The 19,166-nt window shown below is 46.0% G+C and overlaps 1 pseudogene, besides 2 other annotated features; it reads left to right on the top strand.

Moving 5' to 3' along the window:
• Window positions 2,980-3,179: a silencer, noted in NCBI's record as "fragment chr20:32507904-32508103 (GRCh37/hg19 assembly coordinates)". NCBI's record gives its function as "represses an EF-1alpha promoter that drives an FKBP-Casp9 reporter gene in an ReSE screen in K562 erythroleukemia cells {active_cell/tissue: K562}" and the evidence as "EXISTENCE:reporter gene assay evidence [ECO:0000049][PMID:32094911]".
• Window positions 9,854-12,554, top strand: TPM3P2 (tropomyosin 3 pseudogene 2; annotated as a pseudogene).
• Window positions 14,949-15,450: an enhancer, noted in NCBI's record as "H3K4me1 hESC enhancer chr20:32495633-32496134 (GRCh37/hg19 assembly coordinates)". NCBI's record gives its function as "activates a minimal SCP1, AML or CMV promoter by ChIP-STARR-seq in primed H9 embryonic stem cells {active_cell/tissue: H9 hESC(primed)}" and the evidence as "EXISTENCE:reporter gene assay evidence [ECO:0000049][PMID:30033119]".

Here is a 19,166-nt window from a genome sequence, read left to right as displayed (position 1 = left end):
CTTTCTCCTGAACTCTAGACCCATATGTCCAATTGTCAATCTGATGTCTCTTCTTAGATATCCAACAGGTATCTCAGACAACACACATCCAAGACTCAACTCCTTATCATCAAAGCTTCTCTACCCACAGGCCTCCTCATCTCAGAAAATGAAAACACTCATCTTTTAGTTGCTCAGACCAAAAACCCTGGAGACAACCCTCTCCCTTTTTTTTTTCACACCCCACTCCAATCCCTCAGCAAATCCTATCACCTCTACCTTTAAAATATATCCTGGAGCTGGGGACGGTGGCACATACTTGTAGTCCCAACTACTGGGGAGGCTGAGGTGGGAGGATCACTTGAGCCCAGGAGTTCAAGGCTGCAGTGAGCCAGGATCGTGCCACTGCACTCCAGCCTGAGTGACAGAGTGAGATTCTGTCTCTATTAAAATTTAAAAAAATAAAATATATCCTGTATCCAACCTCAGCTCCTCACTGCTTCCACTCTATTCCAAACTACCATCACCTCTTGCCTGGATTACGGCAATATTCTCCTAACTGGTTTTCCTAATTCTGCCCTTGTCACCCTTTAGTCTATTTTAATGACAGCCTCCAAAGAGATTTGTTTCATGCCATCCTCTGTGCCTCCAGTGGCACCAGGATTCTTGGAGTTAAAGCCAAAGTTCACCCTGGCCTATAAGGCCCCAAATGGTCTGACCCCCTGTTTACCGCTCTGATCATCTCTCCTACTGAGTGACTTCCTTCGTGCAAAAGATGATGACTGGTGGTCACAGAAGTGGATGAGGTCACTCAGGGTAAGGGAGTTAAGTGGAAAGGGAAGGGGAGGGGAAGGGAGAGAAAGGGAGGGAAGGGGAGGGAACCCAGGATAGAGTTTGACCAAAAAATGAGGAGCCTGAGAAAGACAACCAGAGGTCAAGGAGAAGGACCAGCAGAAGGTGGGCCCACCAAAACCAGAGAGAGAATGTCTCAAGAAGAAACAATCTCTCCTCACTGAGGGCCCACAAGGCTGAACAACCCATCTTCAATTTCCCTTTCGTGCAGTTAAACTTTTTAAACCTTTTTAAATGATGAGCCATTTGTCAGGGATGCAGCATCTTGGCAGCCAAAACAAGTAAGGAGAAAAAATATTAGCATCTTTTCACTGGTCATTTTTTCTCCCTTTCAGCCTAAGCAGGCCAGAACCAGTATTCATTATTAATAGACGCATGTTTTATTAAAGGTATAAAGACCAAAGATTTGTAACTTTAATAATCCAGATTCTTATTTTAAATTCTCCAACATTATTATTTATTGATCGGCTGGGGAATGTTTCTTTTGTGATCACCAACCTGCCAATTCCTGGAGGGTTAATAGAAGTGGTGAAATTAGAGGAGCTAGCACTGGCACTGATTTACTCCAAGGTGTCCAAAACAACTCCCACAAAATGAGCATCTGCTTTGTGCCAGGCCCTGGGCCAGGCATGGGGCATCAGAGCCAGAAGGGTTAAGGCACAGCCCTCCCCTAATTGGGCAGGCAGAAAAACAAATAATTATACGGACAAGGCAATTACTCAGGTGTGTGGGGGAGCAGAACTGAGTTGTCAGATGCTTTTCTCTGGAATTAGGAAGATTTAAGTCTCAGTGCCACAACTTACTAGCTGTGTGATCTTGGGCATGATACATTCCCTATCTGAGTCTCAGTTTTCTCGTCTGTAAAATGAGGACGGTGTGGGTTTTCATGAAGATTAACTGAGCCACTGATGCATACAGCTTGTTTGGCCTGGTACTCAGTGTGTAGAAAGCCCCCATTCAATGGTAGCTGAGGCAGTGGTGGTGGTGGTGGTGGTGATGTGAACAGTTATAGGGGCTGGGCGCAGTGGCTCACGCCTATAATACCAGCACTTTGGAAGGCCGTGGTGGCTAGATCATGAGGTCAAGAGATCGAGACCATCATGGCCAACATGGTGAAACCCTGTCTCTACTAAAAATACAAAAATTAGCTGGGTGTGGTGCTGCGCGCCTATAGTCCCAGCTACTTGCGGGGCTGAGGCAGGAGAATCGCTTGAACTCGGGAGTCAGAGGGTGCAGTGAGCCAAGATCGCCACTGCACTGCAGCCTGGAGACAGAGCGAGACTCCGTCTCAAAAAAAAAAAAGGTACGGGGGGCCAGACACAATGGCTCATACATATAATCCCAGCACTTTGGGAGACAGAGGTGGACAGATCTCTTGAGCCCAGGAGTTTGAGACCAGCCTGGACACCATGGCAAAGCCCCATCTATACCAAAAAATTTACAAAAATGTGCCGAGCATGATGGTGCACTCCTGTAGTCCCAGCTTCTGGGGAAGCTGAGGTGGGAGAATCACTTGAGCCCTGGAGATTGAGGCTGCAGTGAGCCGTGATCACACCACTGCCCTCCAGCCTGGGCAACAGAGTGAGACCCTGTCTCAAAAAGAAAAAAAAAGCAGGGGCACACACTCTGGGCATTAATTCTTCCTGAAGGAGAGGGTTAAAAGAAGGTTTCACAGAGGAGGATATATTTGAGCTGGTTCTTGAAGGATAATGAGGATTTCAAAAGGTTGACAAGCTGAGGGAAGAACATTCCAGATGGAAAGCTGTCAGGGAGAAACTCACTGGTGAGCAAATGTGAGCCGTGTCGGGGAAAAGCTGAAGAGCTCTGTGGGCTGAGGACATGGTAGCTTGAAGTGCCTGGTGGGAGGGTGGCAACAGTGCAGAAGGTCTCCAAAGCTAGGCAAGGGATCTGGGTTCGCCCTAAAGGTGATGGGGAGACTTGGAGGTGTTTTTTTTTTTTTTTAATTGTGGTAAAAAACATATAACAGGCCGGGCACAGTGGCTCACACCTGTAATCCCAGAACTTTGGGAGGCTGAGGCGGGCGGATCACCTGAGGTCAGGAGTTTGAGACCAGTCTGGCCAACATGGCAAAACCCCATCTATACCAAAAATATAAAAAATTAGCCGGGCGTGGTGGTGCACGCCTGTAATACCAGCTACTGGGTAGGCTGAGGCATGAGAATCGCTTGCACCTGGGAGGTGGAGGTTGCAGTGAGCCAAGATCCTGTGACTGCACTCCAGCCAGGGTGACAGAGCCAGACTCTGTCTCAAAAAACAAACAAACAAACAACAACAACAACAAAAAAAAAAAAACAGGCTGGGCATGGTGGCTTACATCTGTAATCGCAGAACTTTGGGAGGCCAAGGCAGGTGGATCACCTGAGGTCAGGAGTTCAAGACAGCCTGACCAACATGGTGAAACCTCACCTCTGCTAAAAATGCAAAAAAAAAAAAAAAATAGAAAAGAAAAAAACATATAAAATTTACCATCTTAACCATTTTTTAGTGTATGGTTCAGTAGCATTAAGTGTATTTACCTTTTTGCGCAACAGATCTCTACAACTTTTTCATCTTGCGAAACTAAAACTCTCTCCCCCTTGAACAACTTCCCGTTTCCCCTGTCCTGGGCAGCCACCATTCTGTTTTCTGTTTCTAGGAGTTCGACTACTTTAGGTCCCTCATGTAGGTGGCTGGCTTATTCACTTAGCGTGATATCCTCAAGGTTCATCCATCTTGTGGCATAAGACAGGATTTCTTTCTTTTTACAGGCTGAATAGTCAGGCATGAGCTCACACCTATAATCCTAGCACTTTGGGAAGCTGAGGCAGAAGGATCATTTGAGGTCTCGAGCTTGAGACAAGCCTAGGCAACATAGTGAGACCCCCATCTCTACAAAAAAGTAAAAAATTAGCTGGGTGTGGTGGTGCATACCTGTGGTGCCAGCTACTTGGGAGGCTGAGGTGGGGGGATCATTTGAACCCAGGAGGTCGAGGCTGCAGTGAGCTATGATTGCACCACTATACACCAGTCTGGGTGCCAGAGTGAGACCCTGACTAAAAAAAAAAAAAAAAAAGGAGGCCAGGTGTGAGGGCTCATGCCTATAATTCCAGCACTTTAGGAGGATTTCTTGAGCCCAGGAGTTCGAGACCAGCCTAAGCAATATGGTAAAACCCTGTCTCTACAAAAAAATACAAAAAAAAAATTAGTTGGGCTTGGTGGTGCATGCCTGTAGTCCCAGCTACTCGGGAGGCTGAGGTGGGAGGACCACCTCAGCCCAGGAGGTTGAGGCTATAATGAGCTGGGATCATGCCACTGCACTCCAGCCTGGGTGTCAGAGTAAGACCCTGCCTCAAATAAAATAAAATAAAATAAAATAAAATAAAATAAAATAAAAGGCTGAATAATGTTCCATTGTATGTAGATATCACATTTTTATCCACTCATACATAGCAGGGGGGGTGGGGGTTTAAACAATCCCTCCAAGGGGTGGTGAGGAGGGTGGTATGTAGAGTGAATTGAAGCAGCCAGATTGGCAGCAGGGAGGCCAGGGAGGGGCTGGTGCAGCCGCCCAGGTGCATGCGATGATGGCGGCCAGGCCTCAGGTATGGCAGAGGTCTTGGATACAAAAGACATTGTGGAGGTAGAATTGGTGGTATTTGATCATTGGCGATATGATATTTGTCCTAACTTTAGAAATCTAGAGGTGACTCAAGTCATTCCCGTCCTCTTACTCCAAAAGTGGGAAAGAGGGCCTGGCTGGTCCCTTCAAGGGTGAGGAGGAGGATAGAGAATTGCTATGGTGGGCGAAAGGCAAATGCCAACACTTCCAGTTCTATTAGGTTGGTGCAAAAGTAATCACAGTTTTTGCCATTAAAAGTAATGGCAAAAACAAAAACTGTGATTACTTTTGCACCAACCTAATATAATCCTTCAGAAAGTCCCCACTCTGTAGACTATCTTCCCCACCCTGTCCCCCAGCATGTGACTGGGACATTGGGCAGGATGGCTAGCCAGCCACGTGGGTGAGAGAACACAATCCCAAGGGGAAAGGGAGCTGGGCTTCTGGTCCCTGTACCACCTGTGTCTTGCTGTGTGACTCTGGATATGTCCACACCCCTCTGTGGTTCTCAGTTTCAGTGTGTAAAGTGAAAGCGTTGGTAAAGCATTGGTGCTGCCGTGGATGGTGATGATGATGATGATGGCGGTGGTGGCCAACTCTTTTTGAGTGCTTACTCTGTGCCAGGAACTCTTCTAAGTGCTTTTCAAGCATAAATGCATTGATTCATTTTATTCTTCCAGCACGATTATAATCCCCATTGTACGAATGAGGAAATGAAGGCAAGAGAAGCAAAGTTACTTGGCTGAGGTCACAGTGATAACAGGCAGAGCTGGAATTCAAATGCAAGCAGTCTGGCTCCAGACCACTCCCTGGAATCACTTGGGGAGCTTTAAAATATCAGATTCCTGGATCCACCCCAGACCTGCTGGATCAGAGCCTCTTGCTAACAAGCTCTCAGGGCTGAAGGCAGGGATTAGGGCTGAGGGTTCCATGGGGACAGACATTGCCTGGGTCTAGCCCAAGAGACAGTGGACCCTGATTCTTCCCCCACCTGCCCCAGCACTGATGTTCCCTGGGTTTGGGGGTGACTGACCCTTTTGGAGACAACCTGCAGGGTGTACCCAGATTATTCCCACCCTCTCACACATGACCTGGAGGGAGCAGGCTCCAACTTCCTCATGCCCTCCCTGGAGTCCTCAGAAAGGGTCCCAGCAGGACCTACCTGTTACACAGGTAATAAATGACCCTAAGAAAAGATACTAAACCTCTCTAGCAACCCAATGTCTTAGTTCGTTTTCTCTTGCTTATCACAGAGTACTTGAAACAGAGTAATTTGCAAAGAAAAGGGATTGACTTCTTACAAGTGTGGAAGCTGAGTAGCCCAAGGTTAAGGGCTTGCATCTACTGAGAAGCTTCTGGCTGGTGGAGACTCTCTTCAGTGTCCCAAGGCAGTGTAGGGCATCACACATGGTGAGGGGGCTGAGCGTGCTAGCTTAAGTCTTTCTTCCTCTTCTTCTTCTTCTTTTTTAAAAAAATTAGAGATGAAGTCTCACTATGCTGCCCAGGCTGGTCTCAAACTCCTGGGCTCAAGCAATCCTCTATCCTCGGCCTCTCAAAGTGCTGGGATTACAGATGCAAGCCACCACGCTCATCCCTCTCTTCCTCTTCTTATAAAGCCACCAGTTTTACTCCCATGATAATCCAGTAATCCACTAACCTATGAATCCATGAATAGATTAATCCATTCATAAGGGCAGAGCCCTCATGACCCAATCACCTCTTAAAGGCCCTACCTCTCAATATTGCCACATTGGTGATTAAATTTCAACATGAGTTTTGCAGGGGACAAATATTCAAACCACAGCACTCAGCAAATGGGAGTTAATGCAATAAGAAAACGCCCTGGAAGGTTCTCAAGAGGGAAGGGCTGTAGTCAGACACCTTCCTAATCAAATTCATCCCTGCTCCATTTGGAATTTGAATGTACTCGAGTGCTCACAGGAGCTAAATTATTCTTTTTGTACATATGGTAATGACAGTATTAGGCCCACAAATATCTTGGTATGTGGTTATTTTTTAAAAGGACAACATACTGTCAAGCTAGATACCAACAATCAGTAATCGCTCAAGTAATCACTTTTTAAAACTTCAGTCTAAAAAAGAGTTCAATAATTACTGCTATCCGCAATAAGAATGAATCTCATAGACTCAGTGAATGGGCAAAACAAGCCAGACACAGAAAGCTAGATACCAGATGATTCCATTTATATGAAATGCAAGAACAGACAAAACCAATCTATGGTGATAGAAGTCAGGATAATGGTTATTTTTGAGGAGCGTTGACTGGAAGGGAAACTTTTAGGGAGGTGGAATGACCTGTGTCTTGACCTGGGTTGGAATTACACAGGTGTACACAAAGTAAAGATTCACTGAGTTGTACATGTATAACTTATGCACTGTACTATGTGCAATTCATGCCTTAAAAATGTTTTAAAGAGTTGGATTGTTTCTTTCTGGTTATCCATGTCTTTCGTTAACATTCAGATAGTGACTGAGAACTGACTGAGCGCTTACAATGTACACACCCACTCAAGTGGGGCAAGTGGCAGAAACAAGGGAAGGTTAGGCCTTGGCTTAGCCAGCACTGGACTCTGGACTTACAAGGCTTACAGCTGGAGGGGGCTACCAAGGCCAACTGTGCTTGATGCCATTGAGACTCCCACTCCCACACATAGTCCAAAAGAGCCAAGGCCAGGCCTGCGCAGCCTGCTCCACTGGGGGAGTGAACCACTCAGAAGGCAGCTGAACGGACTGGGAATAGGAGAAGCTATTAGCAGCTACCCTGGCCACGGGGCCCTGCAGGATCAAAGATGAGAACTGATCGGGCCCACAGGGCAAGGGGGAGGCCAGAGCCAGCAGGAAGGATAATTAGGAAAGACATCAGGCCAGGCTGGACAATGGAGGCTCAGAGATGTCAGGATTCTCACTCCCTGTTGGGACCACATGGCAGGAGGCAAGGGCTCCCCCTGGGGGCCAGGCAGGTAATGGACAATGGTCCCCAGATAAGAGACCAGAGACGTCCAGTTCATGCCCAACATTTCACAGCAAGTCAGGGACTCAGCCAGGACAAGACCCCACACATCCTGCACTCTATAGGCTTCTCCCCACCATCCCAGCAACACCCCAAGGTGATGTTTATTTCCTACCCTGAATGTTCCACATTCTACGTTCCCTGCATTTTCAGCTCTTTTTTTTTTTTAAGACTTAATTCTTGATTCTTTTGACAGCTTACATCATCCTGAAAGTAAAGTGAAAAAGCCATACCACACTACCCACTTTTAATACAGATCTTTGTAGATTGGGAAGCATAAACCAACCAAAAGAGTGATAATTAGTTCTGAATTCAAGTGAGGTTTATGGAATGTGAACCATTTGGGTAATCGGCTGGGGTGGTGCCATGAAGTGGTAATTAATTTGTTTTTTTCCCTAAAATGTTTTACTTAATTAAGGGAGGTGTTGATTTATATACACCTGTCCCCTGGGGATGGTTTGTAAGGCAGGAGAAAATTCCAACTGTCTCCCCGCCACGTTTCTCATCAAATTATTTCATTACATTCAGATACACTTTTGCAGCACTGATTGTGACAGATTCTGGAGTTATGAGCTCATAAATACTGGGGGGTGGGGGGAAGCTGGAGATGCACACTTAATGGGAAATGTTCTCATAATCAAAAGAATATTTCAAGCTGTGACAATGCAGGCCAAGAGAGGGAGGGGGAGCCACTTCAAAGAATAACAGGATGCTGAATAACCCAGCACCTGCAGCTCTGCCTCCTTCTGAGTCAGCTGGGCTCTCAAATATCAGCTTGCGAAGGGCGAATGTCAGGAGGATTTGTAGCTAGTCCTGGGTTCTTTGTCATAACTTACTTGGAGCTGATAGTAGCTTAAGTTTGTTCATTTACTTAACAAATATTTATTAAGCAGCTACTATGTGCTGGGCACTGTGCTACACACTGGGAATACAATAGTGAACAAGACAAGTTTGTTTCCTACCTTCATGGAACTTACAGTCCAGGAAGAGAAAAAAATATAAACAAGTAAAAGAATAAATAGCTGATAAACATATGCCTACTCGATGATCTAGCAATTCTACTCTCAGGCATATATCCAAAATAAATGAGTGCATCTCTCCATGGAAAGACGTGTAAAAATGTTCACAGCGGTGTTATTCAACAGCAACCAGTCAGAAGCAACCCATGGTCGGCCAGCAGAAGAATGAATAAATGAATTGTGTTATACTGACACAATGGAACACTGCTGTGCAATGGGGTATTGCTATGCAGTACTCCATGCAACAGCAATATAAAAAGAACAAACTGCTGTTGCATTTATCCACATGCAAAAATGTGGCTGTATCTCACAGACAATGATGAATGAAAGAATTTAGGCAAAAAGTGTCCAAATTACACGATTCCACTTACATGAAGCTCAAAGGCAGGCAAAACTCATCTATGACAGAAACCAAATAGAAATTAGAATAGTGGCTACCTTTGAGAAGAAGAGACATGAGGGAGCTTTCTGGGGTGTCTGGGAACCTTCTATGTCCAGATATGGGGAACGGTTACAAGCACACATGTGTAAAAAGTCATAGAGGCCAGGTGCGGTGGCTCACGCCTGTAATCCTAGCACTTTGGGAGGCCAAGGCAGGTGGATCACCTGATGTCAGGAGTTCGAAACCAGACTGACAACATGGTGAAACCCCATCTCTACTAAATACAAAAAATTAGCCGGGCGTGGTGGCACATGCTTGTAATTCCAGCTACTTCGGAGGCTGAGGCAGGATGATCACTTGATCCTGGGAGGCAGAGGTTGCAGTGAGCCGAGATTGCACTATTGCATCTCAGCCTGGGCAACAGAATCAAAACTCTCTTTCTCAAAAAAAAAAAAAGTCATTGAGCTATACACTTAATATTATACTTCAATTAAAGCACGCATTTTAATGAGATCCAATACATTTTAAAAATAATAAATAGCTAAGATAATTTCACATGTTGATGAAAGATGTGAAGAAAATAAAACCAGGCCACAGGATGGGGAGCAAAGACCCTTCCGCAGAGATAGCTTTGAGATGCCACCTTTTCTGGAGGTGGCCCATGGGAAAACCTGAGGAATAAGCATTCAAGATAAGGAAGCCGCAAGGTCACTGGCTTCAAGGTGGGGCATCTGGGCATGTCTGAGCAACAGCACGGATACCAGGATAGCTGGAGTGGGAGAGTAGAAGAGGCCAGGGGGACTGTCAGGAGCTGGCCAACCCTATGGGCCACATAAGGATTCGGGTTTTATTCTAAGCATGATATGAGCCATTGGAAAGTGGAAGCAAAGAAATGGCATGACCCAACTGACCTGATTTTTTAAAACTGAGGCTACCTATTGGAATGTGGGGGGGGGGGAAACTGACAGTAGGAGAAACGGCTGCAGTGCTGAGTGGAGAGGCAGGACCTGGAGCACAAGCAGGGGCTGGGTGGGCACCGTGGCTGGGATCGCCACCATCAAGGCAGTAAAGCGCAAGAGCCAGGTTCAGCAGCAGCAGGCAGATGATGCAGAGGAGAGAGCTAAGCGCCTCCAGCGGGGAGTAGAGGGAGCAAGGTGGGCCCGGAACAGGCTGAGGCCAAGGTGGCCTCCTTGAACCATAGGATCCAGCTGGTTGAAAAGGAGCTGGACAGTGCTCAGGCGTGCCTGGCCACTGCTCTGCAAAAGCTGGAAGAAGTGGTAAAAGCTGCTGATTGAGAGTGGGAGAGGTAGGAAGGTTATTGAAAATCGAGCCTTAAAAGATGAAGAAAAGGCTGGGCGCGATGGCTCATGCCTGTAATCCTAGCACTTTGGGAGGCCGAAGTGGGTGGATCACCTGAGGTCAGGAGTTCAAGACCAGCCTGGCCAACACGGTAAAACTACTAAAAATACAAAAATTAGTCGGGTATGGTGGTGCGCACCTGTAATCCCAGCTACCCGGGAGGCTGAGGCAGGAGAATCACTTGAACCCAGAGGGCAAAGGTTGCAGTGAGCTGAGATTGCACCACTGCACTCCAGTGGGTGACAGAGGGAGACTCTGTCTCAAAAAAAAAAAAAAAAAGATGAAACTCCAGGAAATCCAACTCAAAGAAGCTAAGCACATTGCAGAAGATAGGTAGGAAGCATGAAGATGGGGCTCGGCTCATAAGTTGGTGGTTGTTGAAGGAAACTTGGGACGCAGAGAGGAACAACCTGAGCTGGCAGAGTCCTGTGGCTGAGAGATGGAGGAGCAGATCAGATCGATGGACCAGAACCTGAAGTGGCTGAGTGCTGCCGAAGAAAAGGACTCTCAAAAAGAAGACAGATATGAGGAAGCAACTGAGATTCTTACTGATAAACGCAAGGAGGCAGAGACCCGGGCTGAGTTTGCCGAGAGATCGGTAGCCAAGCTGGAAGAGACAATTGATGACTTGGAAGATAAACTGAAATGCACCAAGGAGGAGCACCTCTGTACACAAAGGATGCCAGACCAGACCTGCTTAACTGAATGAGATGCAGAGCACCCCAGTCCCACCTTGCCACTGCTCCTCCCTCTGACCCCAACTCCAACTAGGCCAGCCTGCCCAAAGCTGCCCTTTAACTGAGGGTTGATCTTTAACTGGAAGGCTGCTTTCTCCTTTCACCACCCCTACCTCCCCCACGTGTCTTTTTTGCCAAACTGTCTCTGCCTCTTCCCAGAGATTCCAGCTGCGCTAGAGGCTGAGCACCTTTGGGAACAACATTTAAGCGAATGTGAGTGCAACACATAATGTCTTTAAAAGCATGTTGTGTTGTATACATTTAGTAATTACCTTTTTTGTTGTTTTATAGCAACCATTTGTAAAACATTCCAAATAGTTCCACAGCTCTGAAGCAGCAATCTAATCCCTTTCTCCCTTTTGGAAGGTGACTGTTTAGCTTACTGTATATTGCTTTCTCTAGAAAAAAGGGAAAAAGGTATGAGCCTGCCTTACTGAGAACCAAACAGAGCCCGGGGAAAGACTCCACTCTGGGAAATCATAGCTTTGCACAAAGTACCAGCCAAACCAGAAAGGTGATTCCAGGAGTTAGCCCAAAAACAACAGCAACAAAAAATGTGCTGTTCAGGTTTTCAGCTTTAAGATATCTTTGGACAAAGTTATTTTTACTTTTTTGTTTTTTCATTAGAAGTGACCAAATTAAGCCAGGCGCAGTGGCTCACGCCTGTAATCCCAGCACTTTGGGAGGCTGAGGCAGGCGGATCACTTGAGGTCAGGAGTTCAAGACCAGCCTGGCCAACATGGTGAAACCCTGTCTCTACTAAAAATACAAAAATTAGCCAGGCATGGTGGTGGGCGTCTGCAGTCCCAGCTATTCAGGAGGCTGAGGCAGGAGAATCACTTGAACCTGGGAGGCGGAGGTTGCAGTGAGCCAAGATCGCGCCACTGCACTTCAGCCTGGGCGACACAGCAAGACTCCATCTGGGACAAAAAAAAAAAAAAAAAAGAAGTGACCAAATTAAGACGGTGAGACCTCTGAGACCAAATTTCTGTCCCATCTCCACCCCATTCCCAGCCGCTTACAGAGTGGATCATGTGCCCCTTACATTGAGGTGACCACTTGATTGCTCTCCTGCCTCCTTGAAAGAAAGAAGATTATGTTTTTGCCACTGATTTAGCCACATGAAACTCATCTCATCACCCTTTTCTGGGTTTGAAGCTGCTGTCTCTAAAAGTGCCATGTCATTGTGCTTTGTATCAGTCAGTGAGAAATCTTGAATAGCTTGTGTACAAAACTTTTTAAATGTCATATTATTTTGAAACTTTGCTTCTTTGGGTTTCTGGCACCCTGGCTACCCCCTCTGGCTGTGAGAGCTCTCCACAGTCTGTAGGCTGGCAGGTTGCTGATCTTTTAAAGTTTCTTTCCCTACCTAATCCCCACTTTTTGGTAAAGTTTCTAGGAGGTCTGTTAGGCGTACAAACTGCAGCTTATTGGCTTACAATGTACTCTCCTTTGATGCCTCTTTGACGACAACTGGGAGAAAAAGAAATCAATAGTGCAACTGTTTTGATACTGAAGACTGATGAGTGTCTTTTTGAAATAAAGAACCAGGCCACGCATGATCGCTCATGCCTATAATCTCTGCACTTTGGGAGGCCAAAGCAAGTGGATCACTTGGGGCCAGGAGTTTGAGACCAGCCTGGCCAACATGGTGAAACCCCATCTCTACTAAACAAAATGCAAAGAAATTGGCCAGGCATGGTGGCACATACCTGTAATCCCAGCTACTCAGGAGGCTGAGGCAGGAGAATTGCTTAAACCTGGGAGGCGGAGGTTACAGTGAGCCGAGATTGCACCATTGCCCTCCAGCCTGGGCGATAGAGCAAGACCCTGTCTCAAAAAAAAAAAAAAAAAAAAAAAAGAAAGAAAGAAATTAAGAACCAGTCCCTCCAAAAAAAGACCCAAACAAACAAGCAAACAAACCCTGACTGTACAGCACTGGTGAGGATGTCAAGCAATAAGAACTCTCACACATTGCTGGTGGGAAGGCCAAATAGTTCAACTTCTCCGGAAAACACTTGGCAGTTCCTTACAAAGATAAATATACACTTAACAAACTACCCAGAAATCTCTTTGGCATTTACTCAAGTGAAACAAAAGCCTATGTTGAACCAAAAAACATATGAAAATGTTCATATCAGCTTTAATTATAATCATGAAAAACTGGAAACCCCAAATGTTTCCCCATTGAGGAATGGTTAAACTGTAGTCGAGCTATACAATGTAACCCTATTCAGCAATAAAAAAAAGGATGTCTACCTTAAGTAAACAGGAGAGAGACCTGCTCTCCAGAACAGTTGCCCTCCAGGACAAGCAATTGATACATACAAAAACTTGGATAAACTTCAAATATATTGTGTTACTTAAAACAAAGAGTTTATTTGGGAATAGCAGGAGCGATATGCATGCTCTGGTGAACCACAGGCATATCCAAAGGAGTTTCCTTTTATAGACAAAAGGAAAAGTTCACAAAAGCTGCTTTGAAACAAGGACCATTGGTTACAGGGGCCTCCTGCAATAGTTGGCATCCACTCATTGGTGAAGGCAGCCATTGTTAGTCAAGTGTTCTTGTGCAAGAGGCTTATCTGAAATTTTTGAAATTGTTGTGGTTTTCAGAGAGTCCTTACAATCATTCCAGTCATAGGCATATGTGCACGAGAGCCCTTCCTTCAAGGCCCATGGGCTCCATTTTGTTCGGGGTCAACATAAGTGACTCCATTTTGATTACTGAAAACGTCCACAAGGACCAGCAATGGATACGTGCAAAAATGTGGATGAATCTCAAAGGTATCGTGTTACCTAAAAGAAGCCAAAGCTACTGTGTGATTTCATTTATATGGCATTCTGGAAAAGGCACAACTATGGTGATGAAGAACAGATCAGTGGTTGCCAGGGGATCAGGGTGAAGGGAAGGTTTGGTTACAGAGGGCCCTGGCCACATGACAGAATCTGCTTCTATATCTTGATTGTGATTGTGGTTTCTGATTCTATGCATTTTTCAAGACTCCTAGAACTACACACCAAAAAGAGTGACTCTCCGCTGCATGAAGTGGCTCTTGCCTTTAATCCCAACATTTTGGGAGGCTGAGGTGGGAGGATTGGGATCTCTAGAGCCCAGGAGTTCGAGACCACCCTGGGCAAAATAATGAGACTGCTTCGCTACAAAAAAATAAATTAGTCGGGCATGGTGGTGTGCATCGGTACTCCAGCTACTCAGGAGGCTAAGGTGGAAGCATTGCTTAAGGCTGCAGTGAGCTGTGATCACGCCATTGCACTCCAGCCTGGACAACAGAGCAAGATCCTGTCTCAAAAAAAAAAAAAAAGTGACTCTTACTATCTCCAAGTAAGTTTAAAAATAATTTTTAAATGTAAAAAATAAAAAATAGGTTATACTTTCCTATTGAAAATCAGACCACCTGCAAGTCTGGAGCATTGTTGATTTAGGGCATGCAAGGATGCTGGTCCAGGCCCTCCCAAGCATGAGCTAGCAAAAGTGCTGCACACTCACAGCCTGCTTTTCCTCTGGGCATTACTTTTGCCATAGCCTGCTGATCCCCAGGACAGGGGGACTGGCTTAGCAGCAAACCAAAGACAACGATTCCTGGGCAAGTGATTTATGAAGTGCTCCTAGGAGAAACTGGCAGGAGTGGGGGAAGAAGATAGGAAAGAGAAAAAGCCAAGCAAGAGTGCACTAGCAGATAGCGTCCCAGCCTCAATCTGATCCCACTGGGAGCCGAGGAATGTAAATTACAGCTCGGTTTGTGCCTGGAGGCAAAGGAGCTGGACTCATGCTCTTGTGTATCTGCCCATCTATGGCCAAGGGCCACCCGGCGGGGAAGTAAACTGCAGGCACTTCCAGGTCCTTGTGCTGTGCAGCCAGTGGCTCCAGGAGCCCAAGGGCAATCCTCTGAAGAAAAATCTCACATGGAAGCTGTCAGATGAAAACACCTGGAACCTGGGCAAACAGAAATGCTAAGAGGATCCGAGGGCAGCTGGGTAGAGCTCCAACAGTGCCCGCTCCACCAACTGTGGCTCATCCGCCGGACGTTTACTCCCAAAGCTCCTCCATGGGTCAAACCCAAAGGGCTGGGAAAGGTGGGCCCTGCCCCCAGCTCCTGCAGGAAACAGGAGATCAGGGGCACGAAGTCTTATCAGTAGTTGGATCCAAAGGGATGAAGTGGGAATGAGGTGAGAGGGTCTAAAGTATTTCCTGGAGACAGGCTTGGGGATCCCGGGAGCTTATCCTAACTTAATGCTGACCTCTCGGCCACATGAGGTTCCAGGGAATGAAACAGAGTTAAAGGTGGCAGCATGTGGCTCTTTACCCCAGACATGAAGGCAGTTAACTTGAGACCATAGCCCCCTGTTTATGTTCTAAAAGTTGCACTCATGGAAAGAGTGTACCCACGGGAGCAGGCAAGAGAAGAAAGCTTGAATCCCACGTACTGGTTCATGGACTGGTGCCTGTGCCCATGGTCCCCAGCAAGAATGTCCTGAGGTGGCCAATTATCCGTCGCAAGGAAGGCTGTCCTTTACTTTGGGATTATCTCTAACCTTTAGTTTTGAGGTGCAAGTTACCTATGGTTTCTGAAATGGTGGTGATACTAAATGGGGATCATGTTGTTTGTTTGCTATATATTACCTTTTTTTGGCAAAATAAAACAATAGCAGCTCTGCCTTGGAACATTAAATATGGGATGAAGGAAATTCAACCACCCGTGGAATACAGAATTGGGTACCTCTGGTGAGACGGGGATGTCAGTTTCTCTGCCTCACCTCAAGCTCTGGAGAGGGGCGTCCTGGGAACCACGCGACCTCCCACAGCTACCATTACAGTTGATGGAGCTAGAGATGGTCACCTGACTAGACACAGTGAATTCATTGGTTGATCAACAACCAATTAGAGCCAGGCATGGTGGCTCATACCTGTAATCCCAGAACTTTGGGAGGCCAAGGTGGGCGGATCACTTGAGGTCAGGAGTTCAAGACCAGCCTGGCCAACTAGTTGAAACCCTGTCTCCACTAAAAATACAAAAATTAGCCAGGTATGGTGGCACGCACCTGTAATCCCAGCTACTCAGGAGGCTGAGGCAAGAGAATCACTTGAACCTGGGAGGCAGAGGTTGCAGTGAGCTGAGATTGTGCCACTGTACTCCAGCCTTGGTGACAGAGTAAGACTCCATCTCAAAAAACAAACAAACAAAAACAACAACAACAAAAAATTGGATACTCTCAAAAAAATTTTTTTAAGGTGAGGATTATTCGAGTTGCAAAATCATAGAGATTGGCAGTTCCCCCAAATCCGGTAAGCACACTACTCCCAAATCTGTGTTTTGTAGGTTTGTATGCAAACTCAGGGGCTGACACCCTGTGGGACCCTGTGAAGCAGCCTAGCTTGTAGTCTGCAGAGAGAGGCAGGACAGTGACTTCCAGGGGCACTGAAGGGCAGGGCTGGCATTTGTCCTAAAGCCCCTATGAACTGTGTTTTTCTCTCTTGGTTTCTTCCTTTCTTTTCTTTTCTTTTTCTTTTTCTTCTTTTTCTTTTTTTTCTGAGACAGGATCTTGCTCTGTCACCCAGGCTGGAGTGCAGTGGTGTGATCATAGTTCACTGCAGCCTCGAACTCTTGGGCTCAGGTGATCTTCTTGCCTCAGCCTCTCAAGTAGCTGAGAGTACAATCACACACCACCACACCCAGCTAATTTTTTTTAAAACAATTTTTTTATAGAGACAGGGTCTTGCTATGTTGCCCAGGCTGGTCTTGAACTAGTGGCCGCAAGTAATCCTCCTGCCTCAGCCTTCCAAGGTGCTGAGATTATAGGCATGAGTCACCACATCTGGATCCATCCTGGTTTCTGTGACCTTAGTAAGCCCCTTCATTTTAACCACTGAGTGGGAACCTGTCCCTTGCAACAAGAAAACAAAACAAACCAGCCTAACCAAATTCATCCTAAAGGAAACCAGAGGTGTGAAGATTGTTGAGACACCCAAAATATTTTCAGTGAAAATGTAGGATTTTGCTAACTTAAGAAAAACAAATTTGGCTGGGCATGGTGGCTCACACCTGTAATCCCAGCACTTTGGGAGGCCAAGGCGGGCAGAACACCAGAGGTCGGGAGTTCAACACCAGCCTGGTCAACATGGTGAAACCCCATCACTACTAAAAATACAAAAGTTAGCCGGGCATGGTGGTGGGCACCTGTAATCCCAGCTACTTGGGAGGCTGAGGCAGGAGAATTGCTTGAACCCGGGAGGTGAGGTTGCAGCAAGCTGAGATCACACCACTGCACTCCAGCCTAGGTGACAGAGCCAGACTCTGTCTCAAAAAAAAAAATTAATAAAAACAAATTCACCAACTGGTTTGGCATGTGTTTCCTCTGGGCTCAGGTTCCCAAGCCCATTCTCTGAAGGTCTGGGCTCTGGATGCTCATCTCCCAGTAGCAAAGTCAGGTGGTTCCTCTGTAAAGAGAACCCAGAGCTAATTCAACTTGAAACCAATTATAAATGCTGAGGCCTGGGGATATAGCAGTCAAACAATGTATGTTCTAATTCCAGATCAGACTAGCTGTGTTAACCTCGGGAAAGTTGCTTTACGTCTCTGAGCCTCAGCTTTCTCATCCATAAATGGGACTGATAATCAATCTCCTTCTCAGGGTTGTTATAAGAAGGCTGAAAAGAATCTAGCTTAGGCTTTCATTTAATTGTTTAAGAATTATTTGTTCCTGTTCTGGTCCCCACACTTTAGGAAGGACATGAAAGAATGAAAGCTTTTTCCATGGGTGATGAGGCTGGTGGGGGCACCCAAAACTATTTCGTGCATAATTGATTTACTATTTGGGTAAAGAAAAAAGAAGATCCACAGAGATCCTTCCCTCAAAATGTATACAAAAATAAACTCCAGATGGAATCCAGTTAAATGTAAGCAAACATTTAAAACCTAGAAGAAAATAGAAACAGATATTCATCAAGTTGGGGAAGACTTCCTAAATTACAAAGCAATGGAGAAGGCAGGGTGCAGTGGCTCACACCTGTAATCCCAGCATTTTGGGAGGCCAAGGCAGGCAGATCACTTGAGTCTAGGAGTTCAAGACCAGCCTGGGCAACATGGCAAAACCCGTCTCTACCAAAAATACAAAAAATCAGCCAGGCGTGGTGCTATGTACCTGTAGTCCTAGCTACTCAGGAGGCTGAGGTGGGAGAATCACCTGAGCTCAGGAAGTTGAGGCTGCAGTGATCCGTGAATGCACCACTGTACTCCAGCCTCCACGATGGGAGTGAGAGCCTGTCTAAAAAAAAAAAAAAAAAAAAAAGCAAAGGAGAAAAAAGAATCACAAAATAAAAGACTGATACACTCGGCTCATGAAATTTAAATGATCTCTACAGACACTCACAAATGAAACATATAGGCAAACAACAAGTTGAGATAATAGTTGGCTTCCAAAACATCCTTAATATATAGAGAGTTCTTATAAATCAACAAGTAAAACACCTAGTAAGACCCCTAGCAGATAAAGAGACAAGCGACATTGACAGTTTGCACGAGAAGAAATACGAATGACCAATAAATTTTTTTTTTTTTTTTTTTGAGACGGAGTCTCGCTCTGTCGCCCAGGCCGGACTGCGGACTGCAGTGGCGCAATCTCGGCTCACTGCAAGCTCCGCTTCCCGGGTTCACGCCATTCTCCTGCCTCAGCCTCCCCAGTAGCTGGGACTACAGGCGCCCGCCACCGCGCCTGGCTAATTTTTTGTATTTTTAGTAGAGACGGGGTTTCACCTTGTTAGCCAGGATGGTCTCGATCTCCTGACCTCATGATCCACCCGCCTCGGCCTCCCAAAGTGCTGGGATTACAGGCGTGAGCCACCGCGCCCGGCCGACCAATAAATATTAAAGTATTCCATATTAATAAAATTTTAAAAAATTTGAAGAAAATGAAAAATGTGTTCATTTTTACCTATCAAATTTGCAAATATTGAAAAACAGTATTTAATGTTGGAAAAAGTACATATAATGGACACTCATACGAGTTTTTTTTTTTTTTTTTTTGAGACGGAGTCTCGCTCTGTTGCCCAGGCTAAAGTACAGTGGCACGATCCTGGCTCACTGCAAGCTCCGCCTCTCAGGTTCACACCATTCTCCCGCCTCAGCCTCCCGAGTAGCTGGGACTACAGGCACCCGCCACCGCACGCAGC

This window comes from Homo sapiens, chromosome 20 (assembly GCF_000001405.40).
Source record: "Homo sapiens chromosome 20, GRCh38.p14 Primary Assembly".
NCBI classification, from domain to species: domain Eukaryota; kingdom Metazoa; phylum Chordata; class Mammalia; order Primates; family Hominidae; genus Homo; species Homo sapiens.
This window is presented reverse-complemented; position numbering and strand designations above follow the sequence as displayed.